The sequence below is a fragment of the Homo sapiens genome, chromosome 18 (assembly GCF_000001405.40).
Source record: "Homo sapiens chromosome 18, GRCh38.p14 Primary Assembly".
Lineage (NCBI taxonomy): Eukaryota > Metazoa > Chordata > Mammalia > Primates > Hominidae > Homo > Homo sapiens.
The window spans coordinates 32,261,948-32,284,403 of NC_000018.10; the positions used below are offsets into that span (position 1 = coordinate 32,261,948).

The following is a 22,456-nucleotide window of genomic DNA, read 5'->3' on the forward strand; positions in this document are numbered from 1 at the left end:
GAGTCAATCTATGGGAACAGATCCTTTCATTTTTTTTAGCCATTAAAAATGGAAGTCATTGAATAAATAAACTAAGAAAAATTTATTCATTGGGAAGTGATACAAACTCAACCTGGGATTTCTAGACAAGTTTACATTTCACCCATTTTTAGGCACTCAGATATTTTATGATGAGTACAAGTTTCATTGATATCACTCATCTGACCTTACTTCATTACATTGTCACGTGGTTGCAGTCTTGACTTTGATGGCACAAAGACTGGCCACCATCAGGAATGTGATTTTCACACTGTCATTCAACAGAACCTCAAACAGCACCTACTTCTGAAGATACAACAATGAAGACATAAGCCCTGATATCAAAGAGCTTATAGCTTTCCAGGGGACAGAGATATGCACAGAGAGCTATATCAGTGCAAAGGAGTGAAATCTAATCAGCTTGGGGATGACATTTGGTAAATCCTGAAGGATGTGCATGAATCACCTAAGCAAGAAGGGGCTGAGCACATCTTTTTATTCATTTCAGTGTAATAAGAATTGAAGCAGGACTTATTGTTTTCAATGATTTGGCTTTTTCTAACTTCAGATATATAAGGAATCAAAGGACATCTGATTCTAACCCAACTTATTTCTAAACTCAAATTTACTTTGCAATATCTAATTTTGGGAGTCAAATGTTCTAGTGTATACTACTTGATGAAATACTCTAAAAATCCTGAGATAGATCTTGGGAAGTTTCAGTCAATCTAAGTCAAGCCTATAGGTTCTTCTAGCACACATTCCTGAAATCCAGTAAAGTGGACACGTATGGGTTTAGTCACAGGTTTATGCCTGTGAAAGAGGAAAGAAGGGTTGAAGGCTTAAGTGTAAGATGGAATGAATGATTTGGGGATGCTTTTAGTCTAGTAAAAGAAGACAGGAAGATTTGGGGCATAAAATATTGAGAGACTATTTTATGCTATTTTGAGTACAGTTAAAGTTCTCTTAACCAAACTCCACTTGCAATTCTCCAGCTTCTGTGTAACACTTCCCAGTGGATGCTGCAGCATATTGAACACTCAATTTTTCTTTAATAGCCTCAGCCATCTCTGCTATTTGCTAGTTACATAAGTTAAACTGTATGTAAGCCAAAGAGATATAAATTTATATTATCTTTCTTTTCCTCATTCAAATGTATACTTTATTTTTTAAGAGTCAAGTGCAGTAGTGAGAGTGGGAAAGAGTAGAACAAGGAGTCTGATCTGTAACTGATGGTGAACGATCAGTTGAGACAACTATCTTTGGACCAGGGTTTTTTTTTTTTTTTTTTTTCCCTCACCAGTTTATCTATTTCATCTTCTGCACTATCTCCTGACCACACAGGCCCTGGATTCTCTGTATGCCATCAAGTTACCTAGTTACCCGCATCTTCTGACTATGCACAATAGCCACAGTCTTCCATCTCTTATTAATACAGAATGGGCTTGCAGTATCGGGACTCCCTCCAAATTCCCTACTCCTAAGTGAGGATGGGAAACAAGTCCTTAGAAAACTATGCACTAGGTCTGACTACTGAGGAACAACTGCAAGAAAAGCAACTTTGAAAATTTCTTTATTACAGACATTTCAGAACCATTTAAATCAACAGACAAGGAAATTTTTAGACATAACATACTGTGTTTATCTTGAGGTACACATTGGGCCCATTAGATAACGTTTTGGAAAGTAATGCCATTGTTAACTGGTAGTTAACAACCCAAGTTTTCCAAGCAAAGAAACTGTAAAGATGGTTACAAAATTCTTTGAAAAGAATACACCATTTCCATTTAAGATAAACTCTCCAAATTCTTAACTGATTTCAATTTTTAGGCTTAGCTTAAATATTTTAAATGAAACAATATGAGAGTGGGAGAAAAGGTTTATAGCTAAGAAATTATCTGAGCCCTACTACATGAGATTGTAAACAAAGGAAATTTGCGATCTGATAAGCTCTATTACAAAATTTATAGCCTAAAAATTAGAGCAGCAAAATTACAGAAGATATTTGTATATAGTTTAAACTGAAATCACGTTTATTCCTTGTTTCTGGCTATCACAATGAGACAAATTTTAAAACACCAAGTTTTAAAGACTGAACAGTGTGATTTAACATGATGTAACCATGAGAATCCCGTATTATTACAATCCCACAATCTAAAAACTCTACTTCACATAATTTGCACTCTAGGCCTTTTATTCTTCTTGCTCAAGCAGCCTGGTGCCTTTAGGTAACTTGAAAGATAGTGGAAATTGATATAAGAGGCATGTTTCTGAAAGCCCCCTACGTCCAACAACAGATTTAACTTTTCTGGTAGACTGAAATTAAAATTTCCTTTGAACAGTTCGCTAGGTTCTTTGAAGGATTATTTGTTTTCCAGTTTGTTATTCAAAATGTTAATCTTATACTTGCTAGGCACGATGAGTAGTGACTTATACAAAGTGTTTAGAAAATGAAGGACCCTCCATCCTTCCACACCCCACCTCCCATCCCTGGACTTCTCAGGGAGCTGTATGGATAACATGCAGGTGGCTGTGGAATGTGAGCAGAGACTGTTTATGCATGTGTCTGAGAACAGTTGGAACGGACTGTCATAATATTTCCCATAAGATTGTTGTATTTCGACATGAGACAAGAATAAACACTGCAATTTAGCTGAATGGGCAGTTCACTGCAACTTCATAAACTGCAATGATATATGTGGGTTGAAAGAATGTAAGTAAATTTCACAGTTCATAAAGTTGAGCAGCTCAACTTAAAGAAGAGAAAACTTGCAAGATTGATCTGTGAGTGTCTGAATTCTGCCTCCCAACATGAGTCAGGTCCACATTATACATTTTAGTTGCTTGGCTTGGTTTATTGCTGATTTTCTTTTCTGATGGGGGCCATGATGATTTTTGCCATGAATCTAAGGACCCAAAAGGGTCTTGTTTAGATAGACACTTCCTCTCTTTTGATTACAGGGGACCTGCCAGAGGAGATAAGATGATAAGTCTTGACCTGGCTGGTTAGAAGGGTTCTGTGTGTGGATCTCTGGGCATCACTTTTCACTGCAGAATCGCAGGGAAGGGCTGTGAAAGGGAAGGGCTTCTCGAAAGGGAAGGGCTTTCTCCTTATTATCCCTGCTTTGCATATCTTGTCATGATTCTCTTGGAGCTATGAATGCTCTGTCCAGTCAGGACACCAAGGTCCTTCACAGACAGGTGCTCAGCTTAGGAATGGCAATTTCATTTATTTGTGGCATTTATTTGTGACAGAAGATATTTATTACAATTAAAAGAATTCCAGGTCAGTAAAAAAAACAAAAAACAAAAAACAAAAAAACAACAACACTAGGCAATGAGAGAGATACTTTCTGCCTCCAACACATTCCAAGTTTTAGTGATCTTGGGGTGTTCTGTACCCCTTAATAGAGGCTGACGTTTTAAAGACAGGACACACGTAATTCTCCATATACCCAGCTGCCCATAGGACTTCACGTCTTTCTTACTCACACATACATACTCTTAGCAACTGAGATTTCAAATATAAACAATATGATCTCCAAGAGGGCAGGGGCTGTGTCTTTTACTCAGCACTGTAGTGATACTAGACTGTAGCATAAGTGAATCAAAGGCCACAGTCCCTGCCCTCAAGGAGTCTCTGCGTTGCCAATCAATATAAACTTGACAAAAATACACCAAGTCCAAAACAAGCAAAAAGAATTTAAAACCCTATTTTGTGTAAAGTTTTTACAAAAAGAAAAAAAACGCTAAAAGGAGTCAGTTGTTTATGTGAGGCAACCTTTATAGTAAACCCAAACCAACCCTGTTCCTTCTTCCTGAGTTTGAGAATTGTGTCCGAGTGCTAAGTATTTTAAAACGGATTCAGCTAGGTTTGCCAATGAAAACTTGCAGCTTAGTAACTGCATCTTGTCTGTTTTTATTTTAAAAAGAAGTTCTGAGAGGTTTACTTTACTAAGGGAGGCAGTCCCCCTCACACAGAAGGATGCTTTCAAAACACGAAAGCTTCATAGGTCTCATGTCCTGTGAGTGCAGTACCAGCACTTCCTCATTGAGTTATCTGTGACTTTTGAAGAGGTGCTCCAGTGTGAGAATTTTACAGGGTACTCTTTTTGCCTATAGTATTTACATTTTGGGAGACACGTTAGGAGAAAAAAAATGCTTTTTTTTTTGATAAAGGAGATCTAAGATGGAAAATTGGGTATCAATTCACTTCAACTCTAAAACCACGATATGGATTAAAAATATCTTTCTTCTAATGCCAAGAAATAAAGACACATTTCACAGGTCTACAAAACTAGACTGGTGGGTCTTGTCTTTCAATTTATTTTTTTATTTTGGTAGCAGGAAGAGATGGTAAGATATAAGTCCATCCTGCAAGTTATGCTGCCGCCTCACTGGCTGACCTTCCTATTCAAGAGGGCACTGTGTGCACCTCGGTCATGGGCTGTCCGCACATCTGGAATCTGGGGCCAGACTCTCAGGTGCAGGGGAGTAGATGATGCCTTGCTCTGAGAACTAATACAGTCTTAAGATGTATATTCTCTAAAAAAGTCAAGAATAATGACGCCATTATATTTTGGAATACTTAATCATATTTAGCAAAAATTCTCAGACTAATGTAAAAGTATGGTAATAATGTATTTTCTTTGAAAGAGAGGGAAGAAGTGGTTTATGAAATAAACAAGTCCTCTTATTGGTATTTTAAAAATACTCAACAGATGTAGCATATATAATAATAAAGGCCGGTGCGTCTGATTTCTCAGCTCTCGTAAAGCATGAAGTAGGTTGAGAATGCCTAATGTACTCTGACAAATGCTCTTCAGACCTCTCACCATCAGACACCAGGGGAAGGAGACCCTTAAACCGGAGAATTATAATTCAACAGAAACTGTCATTTCCCCAGACATCATGGGAGTATTACATGCAAAAACCAGCCCTGCGGTGAGTGGGCTTAAACTCAAACTTAATTCTTCAATACAGGATTCTTTACTGATTTGTTCTAAGTTTTCAGTGATGAACCCAAATAAGATTGAGCTTCAAGAGACAGGGTTCTGAGAATCTTTGGAGTCATTCTGTCCACTATTCCTAAGAGAATCAATGTAGATAACAGTCCCAAAACCTCAACAGATTGTTTAAAAGTGAACAGATGTTATCTAAAATATCAGAATCAAAATTATGTGTAAAACATATCCGGGTGTATTGTGTATGCACCTATACATGTTTATATATGTATATTCTTTTTTCTCTGCTCAATAAAATTAGCAGCAGTTACAGATAAATTATTGTGGTCATGATTTGTGTGATTTCTAAGGACAACATATATCCCTTTATCAACATATGACTCTTGGAAAATGCCTTGTGATAAAAAGATCCCCACCAAGCATACAACATTAAAGTGTCAATTCGTATCACTAACATTTTCAGGCACAAGAGTAAAACAATTAGCAAGAAGCAATCTGAATGACAGAGCACAGAACACAGTTAATTGTCTAAAGTCAACCCTCCTGAAAGAAGGGACTTGTTCAAAAGTGTTTTTTTTTTTTTTTTAAAGATTTTTATGTCTTCCAGCTTTGGCTATTTTGTAATAAATATCATACCTTCTCACATAAACCTACTTGGGTAAGAATGATTTCTCTGCACATGCCTTTTTTTCTTTTAGCAGCTGCTGAGTGTTTGTTGAGTGACGTACAAGGCACACCTCCAAGTGTTCTGTACAGCATTTTTATTGATGTACAAAATAGCCTGTTCACCATTCAAAAACGTAATCTGCATAGTAAGAGTTTCTCTTATCCCTATTTACAGAGAAGGTTTTTAGTGCAAAAACATGAAATTGTGTCCCAGCCCACCCCTTCTAGCACACGCATTGATCAGTTTTGTTCCATGCTGGCCGGGGGTTATTTGGCTATATTTTGGGCCTCCAGCCATTAATGAATTGCATTATCTTCTTCACCTGCAATTTGCTCAATTTGAAATCCTCTGAGAGGATTTCTTCCGTTAGCTGAACAAGCAGGTTCCCATCAATCTTTTCAGTAACAAAGAATGATATGACATCTTCGGACAAACCAATGAACCGTAGTGACTTGGACACTTCCTCTATAGAGAGTCCTGATAGGTCAGCAGGTGGCTGCCATGGGGAACCGTCGCCACAGGATCTGGGGGCCAGCTGGAGATGGAGCGGAGATGAGAAAGGGTAGGAGGCAGAGAAGATGTCCTGCATGCCCTTTTTAACAAAATACTGGTCCTCCGAGAGATCTGGTGACCCAGACTTGGGGTCTTCCTCAGCACCATCAATTTTCAGAGGCAAAGGAGATGTTTCGGAGGCGACCTTCTCTTCCACTAGTTTTGGAGCCCTGGGGGGTAAGGCAGGGCATGACGTACTCTGCTTTGTCACACCAGCTGCAAGAGATTTCACATCTGTGCTCTCCAGAGAGTAGCTGGCTGACTTGGGACAACCAGAGACGCTGCTACTGAATTCTGCAGTGACTGGGCTAGTGGGGCTGGCCAGGAGCTCACAGCCATCAAAATCAAAAGGTGCTGGGCAGTTTCTCTTTGGTGTGCCTGGCGTCTTTTGTCTAGGGTAACTATAACTCCTGCTTGGATCCAGCAGGAAGTCACTCCTGGTCTGGCTTTCTGATGCTCCTGAATAATGGTTAGGCCATGAGAGCCGAGAGGACACAGCTTCAGCAGAAGGACTTCCAAACGGGGATTTCAGGTCCACAGAATCAGTTTTCACTCGGTTACATGGATAGCAGGAAACAGGAGTGCTTTCAGAAGGATTTGTGTCAGTTTTAGTGACGCTGCTTAAAAGCAAACACAGAAGGAGAAATCAGTTAAAAGAAAAAAGCCAAATCCCAAGGCTTTTGTTATTTATAGACGTTACTGCTGAGTAGAAAAGCGCAGTTAGTTTTGAATTCAATAAAATTCCTGCTAACTTCACTGGGTTTTTTTTTTAAAGAATCTTTAATAAAATACATTGGTAATTGTAGATATGTACATAATGATTTAAAATGCTACAGTGGAGATAAAATAAATATTTCAGCTAGTAAGAAAATAATTGTTAATAGGTGCCTGGATCTTTATGATGAGGAAAATTATTAAGTCACGTGTAGGCTCTGCACCAACAGGTGCCATGATTGATGAATGATGTCTGCAGTGAGCGAGGGTAGAAGGAGAGAATAGTAAATGAGTGGCGCATGCTTGCCATGCTTGTGCTACAGTGACATGATGGCATCACACCACCCGTGACTCTATTTCCACCCAAAAGTCTGAGGCAGGAGGAAATCCTTCAAATAAAATGTTTATCCTTGTCTTAGTTTCTGAACAATCGAGTAACATTAGCGCAAAGATTTAAATGTCCAGAGAACAAAAAGTACCTGCAAAGAGAGCTACTTTAAACTGTAATGAGCACATGTGGAGCGGTAGCTTAGGCTCTGGGGGGTTTTAAGAGCAACATGAAACTAGAGTGTGCTCAAAGGAGGGTGAGCAGGCCGGTGAGGGGTCTGACAGTGATGTCGGGGAAACAGTAGAGGGACGCAAGGATGTTTCTTTTGGAGAAGAGAAGACTTCTATCATAGCTGACTCGGAATTTTCATGAGTTGACAAAGAGATATGGGATGGACCTATTTTTGTTTCTTTAGACCTAAGAAATGATTGAAAGTTACACAGAGGTTGATTTCAACTCAATATAATAAAGGGTGTTTTTTTTTAAGTATTGGTACTTGCCAACAATGGAATGAGCTGTGTTGCAGAAGAATGATCTCAGAGCACTGGAAGTATCCAGACAAAAGGAAATGACCACTCAACAGTGATGGTCAAAAGGGGACTCCTGTCTGGATGGAAATTCAGAGTAGATAGCCAATGGGACCCTTTCCATTTTAGGTCCTGGTCGAAGGTGTTGTCTGCTTGAAGGTGCTGTCTGCTCGTGTCAAAGTGGAAAGAACCAGATGCTGACTTGTGAGAACTGATGGCAGCCCCCGGGTTGTTTCCAGGAGAATCTAGTTGGCCTTTACCTCTGAATTTCTCAGACTGGTGTGGCATCTTTTCTTCCCAAGACATTGGCTCTTCCATTCTAGCTCGAAACAAACAGGGGCCCCATCATGCTCACTCAGTAAAATTATTTAGAAAATTAAAAAGCCATTTCCTCTCCCACCACCCTGCCTGTTAGGGCTACCGTGAAAATGCTTTCAAGAACCCATGAACTGGTGGATGAGAAGATAAGCGTGCAGTGGGACCTGGCAGGAAGACTTACATGTTGTGTAGCCCTGAAGAATAGTAGGACAAGGTGGGGCTGGGAGAGCGAGTCTGTTGCCGCGCTGGCTTGACTGTGCGAGGAGGGATGGAGGGACTGGTGGACAAAGGCTTTGCGCTTCGGGGTGGAACAGGTGGGGCGTTCAGGAGCCGGCATTCTTCTCTGACCTGGCGCAGAAAAGAACACTCCAGGTTAGCAACAGACTGACAATGCCACGGGGCGCCAGCTCAATCCTGAAGACTTGCTCAAGTCACACTCTTAAACCGTAACAGCAGGGTGTAAGCATGGCAGAGAGAAGATTGAAGTAAACAAGAATGATAGGAAGCACAGAGGCTGCCAGAGAGCAAATCAGGCGCCTGTCACACACTTGCTGGGACAGAATGATTTTTGAAAGAAACTGCTTGGCAAATGCTGGCTGCTGCTGAAATATAGAAAGTAATATGAAATACGGCAAGTTAAAGTGTCTATGGTTAAAGAGCTAGTGACATGTGAGGATGGATAAAGAGGAAGTATTAAGAAAATAAGAACGTAAGGCATTCACAAATTTAACTTGAGGATTCATCTCTTCTATTAGGTTGTGTTTTTTTCATTGTTCAAGCTGAATTCAATTTGATCCAAACCTTAGAGAACCCTGGACCTGGTCCAGAGCTAAAGCTCCTTCTGAAGTCATGTTCAGGGATGTTTTTTTTTTTTTTTTTTTTTTGAGATGGAGTCTCACTCTGTCGCGCAGGTTGGAATGCAATGGCACAATCTCAGCTCAGCTCACTGCAACCTCTGCTTCCTGGGCTCAGGTGATCCTCCCACCTCAGCTTCCCGAGAGGTGGGACCACAGGTGTGCGCCAGTACACCTGACTAATTTTTTGTATTTTTAGTAGAGATGAAGTTTCACCATGTTGCTCAGGCTGCCTCCCAAAGCATTGGGATTATAGGCATGAGCCACCGTTCCTGGCCAGGGCTACTTTTTAATTTTTTTAATTTATTTTTTTTATTTTTCAAGACTGAGTCTTGCTCTGTTGCCCATGTTGGAGTGCAGCGGCACCATCTTGGCTCACTGCAACCTCTGCTTCCCGAGTTCAAGCAATTCTCCTGCCTCAGCCTCCTGAGCAGCTGGGATTACAGGCGCCTGCCATCATGCCCGGCTAATTTTTGTATTTTTAGTAGAGTCGGGGTTTGACGATGTTGGCCAGGCTGGTCTTGAACTCCTTGCATCTACTTGCCTGGGCCTCCCACAGTGCTGGGATTACAGGTATGAGACATTGAGCCAGGCAAGGGCTTCTCAAATGTAAATATGAGTGTGTATCATCTAGGGATCTTGTTTAAAATGCAGGTTTTGATTCTGTTGACCCAGGGTGGGGCCTGGGAATCTGCATTTCTAACAAGTTCCTAGGTGATACTGATGCTACCTGACCATGGTCCACACACTGACAAGGCTGCAGAAGGAGTAATGAAGCGGCTCTCTACATCCAAAAAGTACTTTTTATAAGAGCTGCTTCCAGCTCTCTCACATTTCCTTCGTCTTCACACTGGAGAGGATCTAGCTGATCTGTGCTGTCCATGGCTTCTCTGAGACTGCCTGCCATTCCCCTAATTTGCCTTCCATTCCTTGCAGGCATTTCAGAATATAATTACTAATGAAGTGACATTTTTCATGTACTTCTACGTGTCAGGCAGCAGGGGGCAGTTTATACCTGGCTCTGCTAGTCTACCCTAAGCTATAGAGGTAAAAATATTAACAGAGCCAATTCTGACTCTGTCAAAAATGCTATGCTTTGAAATGCATACCTTGTCTACTTTTAGGCTATGTTCCCACCAAGTTTTTCACCTTCACTTTCAATTCCTTTCTGGCCAAGCAGCTCTGGGATAAGACAATGAAACAGCAAGCTCCTATTAGCTTTGGTATTGAGTTTGCTTAAGCGGAAATGAAATGGGTTCATGTTATCACACTGCATCTCCTACTATCTACACCACACCCGGGACCTCTACCTCGCATCCCTGGCCTGATTCACTTGCCAGAGAAAACCAGCCATTAAGAAGACTCATGGCTATGGGTAGCCCAGTAAACCCAACTCTAAATGAAATGGAAGCAATTTAAAAAGTCTTATCAACTGCATTTCTTCCCGGGGCTGGGGATCACTGCTCCTACCTGCAGGACCCACAGCCCTGGTTACTGGGGCCCAGTGGGTTGGTGAAAGGGAACGGTTTCATCTGGAGAAGCTCTTTAGACTAAAAGAAAATATTCGGAGCAGCAGATTTCTTCCACAATAGACGCAGGCTTTCCCCTTGTGAGCTTTTAAAAAGGTGGTGGATGACTGCAGAAAGGATGCCCGGGAGGAAATGAAGTTTGGATAATCACGTGAGAGGAATGCTTGGCTGGGCTGGCCCAGGAAAGACCCTTGCACCATTCTGGGGTCTTTTTTTTTTTTGGAGACGGAGTTTCACTCTTGTTGCCTAGGCTGGCGTGCAATGGCATGATCTTGGCTCATTGCAACCTCCGCCTCCCAGGTTCCAGCGATTCTGCTGCCTCAGCCTCCTGAGTAGCTGGGATCACAGGCATGCGCCACCACACCCAGCTAATTTTGTATTTTTAGTAGAAAGGGGGTTTCGCCATGCTGGCCAGGCTGGTCTCGAACTGCTGACCTCAGGTGATCCACCCTCCTTAGCCAGGCGGGTCTTCTTAAGAGGCTGAGAACCAACCAGGATGCCGGAGCTCAGGCTGGGCCACCCCGCTTTCTGGCTTTGGTTCATCTTCCTTCTGTCTTGTTAGTGAACTGCACGGTAGCCAGATGTGTTTCTTTCTTAGGGAATATCTATAGAATTTAGGGTGGATGGCTGTCACTTTATTACAGATGTGCTTGGTTCTATTTATGTTTATAGAAATAGGGCGCATGGAAAATGTGAGACGATAAGGACTCTGTCAGTTAACTTTTCAATTTTAAAATAAATACTTAGCTACTTCCCAATATTGGATTAGAGTGGAACATGAGGAAAACATGGTTAATGCTGGATTCAATTTAGCACTTTCAAAATTTTAGAATTAGCCACTAAATATGACGTTTCATTAGGAAACACTTACCTGGGATGTCAATTATAATATGCTCAGATGTCAATTACAATATGCATTTTAATTTACAATAGTTGGCTGACTTAGGTTTATAAACTCAGAAAAGAAGCCACTTGTAGTTGAATTTGACCTAAAGGAACTCCCGAACTCCCCTCTTCCTGTACTTATAATCAACCCCAGGTACCCAAGGTCACTTAGAGCTGGTTCTGCCACCTTCAAAACTAGGGACTCCTGAAGGGCTAATAGGTTTCCCACAATGGTGAGGAGAGGGCAGTAGTGAAGAGAAGCATTTCTAAGCTAAAGGGCCTGGTGAGGAGGTAGCCAGGGCCAACTGGGAGTGTTTATGGTTGATGCTCAAGACAGAATTTGAGACACATAGAGCTTTTGGGGTGGCCACATGACTCCTGAAGGGAGTTAAAGAACTAATGTGTGTGTGTGAGAGAGAGAGAGAGAAAGAAAGAGAGAGAGAGAGAGAAACAAACTGATTCTTACTTTTAGGAGATGGGAAGTTGTCAGTGATGAAACAAGAATATGAGGCCAGGGATTTTTTTCTGTTGTGATGGGAGGGCAGTCTGGGTGTTGTTATGTGAGGTCAAGGTAAAAGAATTAGGTTTACTTGAAACTCACTTTAGAGAAAGGTGTTTTGTTGTTGTTGTTGTTTTAAAGGATGACTTTAAAGGTACTCCATTCATGACAAGAATTTTGAGTGTCATTCTGTTGAGGCACAGAGTGAGTGGCTTGCACTACGCCAGGCAGGTGAGGGGCAGCCCACGGCAGGTGGGCACAGCTGAGGACTCCACAGACACATCTCCAAGTGGCATTATTATTTTCAACTTGTTGCTGCATGGGTGGCCGCTCCGATGATGGCCTATTTCTCTGCATCTTAAGGGAAGAATTACATGCTATGGTGGGCTGTATGCGTTCTGGGATTCAGAAGTGACAGAGTGAGGGCTTATTGTACCATCTTAGTTCCTATCTCTTACTCTTAGAACAGTAACAGTTCTATTACTCTTTGCTTCTTGATTTGATTCATGCAGGATATTTATATCCAGGAGGAAGGTAGCTGTGCTTTAGATGAATTTTATCTGTCAATAAAAGGCAATTTTTAAGACTAGACGGTCAATCACCCTATCTCCAGTTTTCCTTCATATTCAATTTAGCTTTTAAGTGTAACATTTTCAGCACATCCCTTCTGGAAGCCTCAGCATGTGGCTCTCATCATGTTACTCGCTGTCTCCGACGGCTCCCTCTGATTCCTGGATAAAGGCTGGCCTCCCCTGCCTGCCACCCAAGGCTCTGTGCGACCAGGCTCCCACGCATCTTTCTAGCAATCTCTCCCACTGCTCCTAGTCTATATGGGCACGCAGGTCCATGCAAAGTGGTGGACTCAGTGTCCCCCCAGCACACCCTGTGCTTTCCTGCCCCTTTCTCTGGTTTAGTTTTTACTGCCCACCACACCTAAACACCAGTTCCTGTGGGCCAGCCCCACACATTACACACTCTGTGTGCCACTCTCCATCTATATTTAATGAGCCTGCGAGCTAAAATGTAGGGACTGCCATTTTAGCTATCCCTTGTTATTACTATCCTGGGGATAGCAGAGTTTGGGGATTTGTCACTCCTGGCATGAACATGTCACACAGAATGCCTGGTAGGTGTTAAGAAATGTCACAAAAAATACAAAAAAAAAAAAAGGCACTTAAAAAAACCCATATACCATAGAATATCTTTTATATGTTTATGTGGAAATTATTACTGACAAGTCATTTGGGCTGAATGTTAAGTTTTTTTGGTGACCCTGAGTCAATCTAGGGGAAAAAAAGGCACCAGAAGACCTGCCACATATGACCACCACCAACTCTACCACCACCCTTTGACACAGTGTCATGGTGAAAATGACAGTGACAGTATTCCTGAACTAGGAAGCGCTGTGGCTTTAATCTAGCACACCCCAGAGTAATGACTATTCTAAAATGAAGATCTAAAGGACTATACTGTGCCTAATGGACTAAAGCCTTTCTATTTATTTCCAATGTAATGTTTATGACTGGACTTCCACTGGCAACACAAGGAGAGAGGGGCCCCTGTATTATCAGGAATGAACCTCCAACCCTCACGCTCAGTGAAGAGCTGGCGTTCTGTTTTGAGGTGGGTGTTACCGTCCATTGCAGATGACGGTGATCTCTGCCTATGTGTAGTTAATTTCAGGTTATGAGTACCTTGACTATTCACAGAGAAACTCCTGGAACCAAAGTCCTGTTGATGACAGGGTCAATGAGCACAGTGCGGATACACGGAGTACCCAAAGCCTCGCTTCCTGAGCAATTCCCCGGCCTAAAGCTTTTCTTCCCAGCTGCCCCACCGCTAGCATACTTCTCTCCTCCTGCTCCTTCAGAGTAAGTCTATCTCTTTTTTTTTGAGACTGAGTTTTGCTCTTGTTGCCCAGGCTGGAGTGCAATGGCGCGATCTCAGCTCACCGCAACCTCCGCCTCCCAGGTTCAAGCAATTCTCCTGCCTCAGCCTCCCGAGTAGCTGGGATTACAAGCATGTACCACCACGCCTGGCTAATTTTGTATTTTTAGTAGAGATGGGGTTTCTCCATGTTGAGGCTGGTCTCAGACTCCTGACCTCAGGTGATTCGCCCGCCTCGGCCTCCCAAAGTGCTGGGATTACAGGCGTGAGCCACCGTGCCTGGCCTAAGTCTGTCTCTTTTCTAAAATGTTCAGTGTTTCAATTATCATCAAACATGAGACACCACTACTCTGGTGTTGATACAAGTCTCCTTGGTATTCACATTGCAAATCAGGAATGCAGAGCTAAACAGAAAGCTCATTTATTAAAGAGGTAGAAACGGTGAGTTCTGTTCTTTCTCGAACTTCATCCTCTTTAGTCAATGAGGCATATTTCTAGAAAGGCATATTCAGACAACTGAAATAATCTAATAATGGGGGCTTAAAGCAAGCTGTAAAAGGTGTCTGTCCTGGGGGCTGATGGCCGGGATCACAAGCATCGACTTCCACCATCCCTGAAAGTCTGAACAACATGGCTATCACTTCTCTTTTCCTACAGCCTCTATTAATTCCACTTTGCTATTTGTTCAAATAGATTGAGTGCCTATCATGTGCTCATTGAGTTAGTGTTGAGTATACAACAGTGAGTAACTCATGGAATTACTTATGAGGGAGGGAAACAAACATAATTAAAATACAATCTGGTAAGTGTGATAAGACAAGTATGTGCAAGGTTCATGGGAGCACCATAAATTTACTCAAGGTGGCAGGAGAAGAACAAATTCATAGGTAATTTTACTGAGAAAGTCTTAGGAGGGATTATGAGTGTACAAAAGGTAGAACATAGAAGAACATGGCATAAAAGAAGAACCAGAATGATGATCTGGTCTGTGGGCTTAGATGATGAAACAAAACACTGGTACCATTCATCAGATAGAAATTTAGAAGAACAGGGCTTGGGAAAAGCAGAGGAGGTCAGTTTTGAAAATACTAACTTTGAGCTCAGTGTTCTAATGATAGATAGAATCTGAAGTTATGGCGGCACTGAGATCCCAGATGAGAAGTGAAGAAGGCTGAACCCCCAAAGGATGGGCAGAAGAGAAGACAGGAGGGGAAAAACAGGTAACTACACTTTAGTGCTCACAGAGCAGAATCATGCCTGAATGGCGTCAAGGAAGCCAAGGGAGGGAGAGCTGCAGGGGAACAACAGTGCAAAGATGGAGAGATGTCAGGAAGTCAGGAAAGAGGCTGGAAGAGGTTCCCCTTATGTGACAGCTAGCAAGTCACTGGTGATCTTAGCAAATGAGGCGTGAGTCAAGTGAGGGGGCAGAGCCAGACTCTAGTGAGTCAAAGTTAGACAGGAGGTAAGAGTGGTGTTCGTGAGGGCAGATCACTCTTCTCAGGAATTGTCTGGAAAGAAAGGAGTGAGGCAGTTGTTACAAAAGGATACTGGTTTGAAGAAGGCATGCCTTTTAAAAAAAAACTTTAAAGAAACTTGAAAAAATGTGCCTGGGTACGTATATGCATGCATGTAAGCTGGAGGTCAACTGTACACTGATGCCTGGGACCCTGTGCTCACCTTTAATTTAAGAAGATAAAGGGGAGACCATTTTTCCATTGCTCCCTGCCTCTGTCATGCCATCACTGGCCACATAAAGCTAGAAAAATAAATTAATGGTAGCATATCATCTTAACAGTGAAAGCAAAGATGAAACACACTAATAGAACAAATGCTTTGGAAAGCTTCATGTTTCTAAGTGGAAGTGGTCAACAAAGTCAAGTGCAACTCCAATCTATGGTCCAAATCAAACACATCATAAAATGGAACTATTTTCTTTACTTTCAGAATACTGCCCAGGGAGCTTAACGTCATTTCCTGAGTCCTGGAATAGACATTTAACCTTCTTTTCCCTTCTCTCCTTACAGTTCTAACTCTTGCTTAGTTGGGAGGGAATTGAGCACAGGTCAAGGATCAGTAATTTGTCTCCTCTAAATTGCAACATGTTGAAAATAATGCACGAGAATTTGTTAACAGTAGGAAGCTCATCATTGCATGAGTGGAAAGCAGAGTTACATGTAGATCTTTGGAGGACAAAAACTGAAACATACATACAATTGGAGTGCTTTCTACATAGTATCTATGAAATAATTTCTTTCTCCTGTTACACCTCTTTCTCTGATACTTCCTAGGGGTTTATGAAACAATATGTCTAAGACTGGGGGCTTTTTGGTACAACAGCATTTCTTGGAAAGCCTTTGTTTTTCACAACTTCTGACTCCTCTGTTCTGTGGAGGAAACAGAACTTTCACATGCAGTCACTAACAGGACCAAAGAGCTTAAGAAACGTAAAAGGACAGTTAACTAAGGCATGGTCTTAGCAGTTTTCAGATAGCCTTTTGGGAAAAAAATCAATTTCAGAGCAGTGGTGGGTGCTCAACTCTTACATACAAGATGATGGATCTAGGGACATCTGCTGACAGGGCCATGTATTTCCTGAGTTAACCTTCTAGAATCAACTGTCACATGCCTGGCAGGGGCGTGGGGGAGAGAGTATACCTCCTGTCTCAAAGTTCATATTGTTTGGAATTGTGGACAATCAATAAGGAGATTTTGGCATACTTAGGTGGTGTAAGGATCGTTTTGTTTCCATATTGACAATGATTAAGAAAATACATACACTGTAGGGGAGCTTGATTTAAAATGAGATTCACCTTTCTTGTGCATTTTCTTCCCTAAAAAGCCAAATGCAGGACAATGTCAGCAACCCAAAGAAAGGAGTTTTGTAACCATGCTTCCTTGAACTTTGTAACTTTGCCTTCACTGACTGCCCTCTGCCCTGTATTTTACATTTCTTCCCACACTCCCAGATAACAAAATCATTACAGCCGTTAAGAAACCTTATTTATAAAGAGGCTTTTATACAGAGTTCATAACCCTGTCACATAACCATCAGCGGATATTTTCAGTCAAACAGAAATTAAAGTTTTATAATGACAAAGTACAATAAATGAACCTCTATTTGATTAATTACACAAGGGCAAATGTGATTTACAGTCAAAATCCTGATTCTTAGATGCGTGAGCTTCTTTTTTCCATTTTTATACATTGATGATAAGGACCTAAGACAGACCTTTCTCAGAAATGGTCTCCAATATTCCAGCCTCAGGCAAGGGAGGCCCAGGGGAAGGAGCGGGCAGCCACTTACTCAGTGGCAGGAGGGGCAAGTGGTTCTGAAAAGATGTACTTGTTTAACATTTAGGGTGCTTTCATGGACTCAGAAAGTATATGCCATTGAGGAGTAGAATAAAGATCTTTCCTGAGCAAGGAGTGTACGTGATAAATATACTTAAGTAGTGTATAACCTTCCTATTAATGTGATTTTATACAAATGGTATATACCTAATTGTACAGGTTTGGAACAAGACTTATCCAATAGAACAGGGTCCCCAACTTTTGGGATATGGACTGATACTGGTCTGTAGCCTGACAGGAACCAGGCTGCACAGCAGGAGGCGAGCAGCTGGCAAGTGAGCCAGTGAAGCTTCATCTGTATTTACAGCTGCTCTCCATCCCTTGGATTACTGCCCCAGCTCCAGCTCCTGTGAGATCAGTGGCAGCATTAGATTCTCATAGGAGCATGAACCCTATTGTGAACTGCACATGTGAGGGATCTTTGCACGTTCCTTATGAGAATCTAGGTTGCGTATTCCTTATGAGAATCTAATGCCTGATGATCTGTCACTGTCTCCCATCACCCCCAGATAGGACCATCCAGTTGCAGGAAAACAAGCTCAGGGCTCCCACTGATTCTACATTATGGTGAGTTGTATAATTATTTCATTATATATTACAATGTAATAATAATAGAAATAAAGTGTACAATAAATGCAATACACTTGAGTCATCCCGAAACCACTCCCTCCCCCAACGCCAGGTCCGTGGAAAAATTGTCTTTCATGAAACTGGTCCCTGGTGCCAAAAAGGTTGGGGACTGTGGCAATTGGATATTATATCCTTATTATCATTCTAATCATTAAGATTTTCAATAGACACAGAAGAAGAAAAAAACAAATCTTGGCCTAGAAGCTTTCATTTAAAAAGAACCTACATGAAACAGAATGGCAATTAGTTTCAAAGTTATCAAAACACAATAATAATTTAGTCCTTATTTCAATTAACAAATGGGAACTTAGGTATGGCTTGCTTACAAAGTACTCCTCAAAGCTTGTAATTAAAATTAATTAAATGTCAAATGCCCTACGAAACCTCATTAACTAGTGGAATCCTGAGTATATCTTTTTGTAGAGCAGTTATTTGGAAAAGTAAATAATCACTAAGCTTAAATATTAATACATCAGATTTAAGAAAATCTGTCTGTCAATACCTTTTCTAATATTAATATTTTACAGAGAGAAAAAGCCCAAAGACAAAATAAAATAAAAATGCAGAGTACAATCAATTCTTAGCTACTTTCCACAGCTTATTATCAACAAACATATTTTATGGCACTTTCTTAACTTGGGCAGTCACGTGAGGCCCCTAATTCTGTAGGCTGGGCATATCCAAAGTAATGAGATCTGGCAGCACCAGGAGCTGGCCTGGCCAAGCCCGAGGAAGGGAGTCAGTTATCCAAGGCCACTTCTCACCTTTGATATTTCTGTGTTGGTTTGCCCGGGAATACCAGTTTCTTGACACTTGTTCACAGCCTTAGAGCCTCATGTGGCTTTTTCACAGGCACTCTAGTTCTTCAAAACCCCCGACTCTGCCACTAAAAGATTATGCTATTGGGATCCACAGGGTGCCAAGCATTTCTGGAGCTCTTTTTGGGGGCATATGATGATTACAAAGTTTGTGATGATTCCACAGTTAGGTAACTAAAACAGTACCTATCTTACCAAGTAGAAGTTTTAAAAGTCAGATTAAAAGAATGTTTTGCTATTTTTAAAACCAACTGTGTGTTTTTGTAATATCTTAGAAACCCAGCAGAATGAACTAGCACACCCACTTCTGGAATGGGAGGCTGACTGACCCCCGTGGTAGCTGGCTCTGCCCATCTGCTGTGGGGATGGATATGTCCACTCCCACCCACCTTCTGACTCTTTGGAGGGGACTTATGTACCTGGAAAGTGTGACTTCTTCTCTCCATCCCTTAGTCAAGGAAAGACAGTGGGAAAAAACCTCTAAACAGTGACTGTCTACCTGACTCTAAACTGGAATCCATCCTATATTAAATTATTGCTACTATTTATTTTAAATGTTTACCGAGTGCCAGGGAGAAGTGCCAAGTTCTTCGCACAGTACAAAAATGCAGTGAAGATGTTATTATCCCCACAGGAACTGACTCAGGGAGGTTAAATATTTTGTGCAAGGTATGAAGCTACAAAGTGGTAGCATGAGGATTGAAATCGATGTGCAGCTCTCAGATGCAATGCTGCACGCCTCTAATTATCTATCACATAGTGAGTGTTCTGCCTGTCTGAGGCAGATTCAGATGGCCCAACTGACTTCTCTATAGTTAAATCAGTTTTTTTTCAAGCACCTACTAGGCTAGGCCCATCAATCTGGCATTAAATTTACTCTTTAAGTCCCATTTTTCTCAAACACCAACAACACAGTGTGCTTCATTAAAGAAACTTTATGATGAACTTCCGGCCTTCTAACAATGAATGCGTGTTACCAACCCATCTTAAAACTTAGTCCCTAAACTCTGTTTCTCACAAGCTGTGGGGCAACCCTGTCTAACACAAAGGTTCACAAATTCATCAACACTGCAGTAAAATTTAGTTGAAACCAGTGGTTCACAAAAGAGCTCCTTTTATCATTTTCCTTTTACCAGGAATTGCTATAATATCAACCACTATCCATAAGGGAATGTGTTTTTTTCTGTTCTTAAAGACAGATGGAGGCCGGGCACGGTGGCTCATGCCTGTAATCCCAGCACTTTGGGAGGCTGAGGCAGGTGGATCATGAGGTCAGGAGATCAAGACTGTCAGCCCTCTGAGCCCAAGCCAAGCCATCGCATCCCCTGTGACTTGCACGTATATGCCCAGATGGCCTGAAGTAACCGAAGAATCACAAAAGAAGTGAATATGCCCTGCCCCACCTTAACTGATGACATTCCACCACAAAAGAAGTGTAAATGGCCGGTCCTTGCCTTAACTGATGACATTACCTTGTGAAAGTCCTTTTCCTAGCTCATCCTGGCTCAAAAAGCACCCCCACTGAGCACCTTGCGACCCCCACTCCTGCCCGCCAGAGGACAACCCCCTTTTCCATTACCTTCCCAAATCCTATAAAACGGCCCCACCCCTATCTCCCTTCGCTGACTCTCTTTTCGGACTCAGCCCGCCTGCACCCAGGTGAAATAAACAGCCATGTTGCTCACACAAAGCCTGTTTGGTGGTCTCTTCACACGGACGTGCATGAAAAAGACCATCCTGGCCAACATGGTGAAACCCCGTCTCTACCAAAATAAAATTTAAAAAAACTTAGCCAGGCGTGGTGGCGTGAGCCTGTAGTCCCAGCTCATTGGGAGGCTGAGGCAGGGGAATCGCTTGAACCCAGGAGGTGGAGGTTGCAGTGAGCCGAGATCGCACCACTGCGCTCCAGCCTGGTGACAGAGTTAGACTCCGTCTAAAAAAAAAAGAAGACAGATGGAGAACACTGATCACTGGGTGCTGGGGTCCCCAGATAGGACACTGCCACACAAATGGTTTTAGAAGAGCTGTGAACCTGCAGGGTTTTTGTTTGTTTGTTTGTTTTTCTGAGACTGAGTCTTGCTCTGTCACCCAGGCTGGAGTATAGTGGCACGATCTCAGCTCACTGTTGGCCAACTGGTCTTGAACTCCTGAGCTCAAGTGATCTGCCCACCTCGGCTTCCCAAAGTGCTGGGATTACAGGTGTGAGCCACGGTGCCAGGCTAACCCTGCAGTTTTGATAACCATTTGTAACTCATTGCATAGACGAGAACAGACTGGAAGTCAAATGATCTATTTATAGAATTTTGTGCAATATAAAGTCTTCCCAGCATTGCTCTCCAAAATGGCATTTTCTAAAGAGGGGGAAAAGAAGATTGCTCTTGAAGATTGCCTTTTGTAGAGTACATCTGGGTAAATATTTTACATATCAGCCAATAACCAGAGAATCTAACTGATGAATAGAGGCCTGCAATATTATAAAATAGAGGATATGTTTAGAATAAACACATGGATCAATAAGGATAATCCACTTAAGAGGGACTGTCAGGTCATTCTGATCTGGGGGCACCTTGCAAAATTTTAAAAAGGGAAAATGCCAGACTGGGCATGCTCCCTCAGTTGGGCTCAGCTGCAACAGTTCTAGGGGTTGCATCTTGTCTATTTCTTGAACCAGGAACTGTTTACTTTTCCCTGGGACATTCCCGTGAGGAAGAGAACGGCCTCTCATATTCCAGAGAGGTTAGTGTCAGTGTTTTGTTTAAAAAATTATTAAACATGGCTGGGCGCAGAGGCTCATGCCTGTAACCCCAGCACTTTGGGAGGCAGAGGTGGGTGGATCACTTGAGGTCAGGAGCTCAAGACCAGCCTGGCCAACATGGTGAAACCCCATCTCTACTAAAAATACAAAAAAATTAGCCAGATGTGGTAGCGCATGCCTGTAATCCCAGCTTCTCGGGAGACTGAGGCATGAGAATCACTTGAACCCGGGAGACGGAGGTTGCAGTGAGCCAAGATCGTGCACTGCACTCCTGCCTGGGCAACAGAGCCAGACTCTGTCTCAAAAAAAACAAAACAAAAAAAAGCATAAAAAATTATTAAACAATCTTTACAAAGAGATAAGAGGACTAGAGCATACAATTCTAGAGCATCAAATACAAAGATACAAGAGGACTAGAGCATCAAATGCAAGTTAATATACAAGATATATTAACAAAATACATGAATGGGATTAAACGGATGACTCTGCCCCCAAGGATTTTCTGGTTGGCTCACGATGTAGTTTCCCTGTTTAAGATACAAACAGAAAAGGGCTGATGAGCAGAGCCCGGAGGATGCCAGAGCTGCAGCACAACTTGGGAGGAAGACACCCTTTCTTTGACTGCCATGGCACCTTCTATTTCTAAGGACCTGGTGAGAGATGTCACCTTCCCAGCTAATATCTAGCTGGTGAACTTTCAAGGGAAGCCAACATCTTTAATTACTGGGTAGGATAGTTGGCTGGACACATGGCACATCTCTCTCCCAAGACTCATTCCACCGGAACTATCCAAATAACTTTTACTTAATTCTGTGGGAGCACTTAAATTTATGCCCCATTAAAGTTCCCTTTTGAAAATTACAAGCTGAAGCCACATCTAACAACTATGATGTTCTCTGGATCCCACGCACATCCTAAAAATGGAAAATTCATTTCATGGTCACAGAACCAATAAAAAATATGACTTCATTTGAAATGCCTAATTTTTTTAAAAAAAACAAATTAAATGATTTCAGGTGTTTATAAAAAATCTTTAGGTTTATAGCAATCTACAAACACTGGACACGCTCTGAAAAGATTCTCTTATGTCATAAGAAGTTACAGCTTAGACTGGAGGCCAAATTTTTTTTTCTTCTGTGAGATTTGCTTTTAGTTTCAAA

At 41.9% G+C, this 22,456-nt stretch overlaps 1 protein-coding gene across 6 annotated transcripts in view, besides 1 other annotated feature; it reads right to left on the bottom strand.

The window, feature by feature from the left end:
* Positions 1,575-22,456, bottom strand: part of GAREM1 (GRB2 associated regulator of MAPK1 subtype 1) — a 207,361-nt gene continuing 186,479 nt past the window's right edge. For 4 of the 6 annotated variants that reach the window (NM_001242409.2, XM_024451234.2, XM_047437739.1 and 1 more), the window contains 2 exons: positions 8,270-8,436; positions 1,575-6,821 (listed from right to left, as the gene is read on the bottom strand). In NM_001242409.2, coding sequence (NP_001229338.1) covers positions 5,924-6,821; positions 8,270-8,436 — 1,065 coding nt within the window. In that variant the 3' untranslated portion in view covers positions 1,575-5,923. The other 2 variants (NM_022751.3, XM_017025919.2) reach the window with 2 other exon arrangements.
* Positions 19,718-20,310: an enhancer, noted in NCBI's record as "OCT4-NANOG-H3K27ac hESC enhancer chr18:29861628-29862220 (GRCh37/hg19 assembly coordinates)". NCBI's record gives its function as "activates a minimal SCP1, AML or CMV promoter by ChIP-STARR-seq in primed H9 embryonic stem cells {active_cell/tissue: H9 hESC(primed)}" and the evidence as "EXISTENCE:reporter gene assay evidence [ECO:0000049][PMID:30033119]".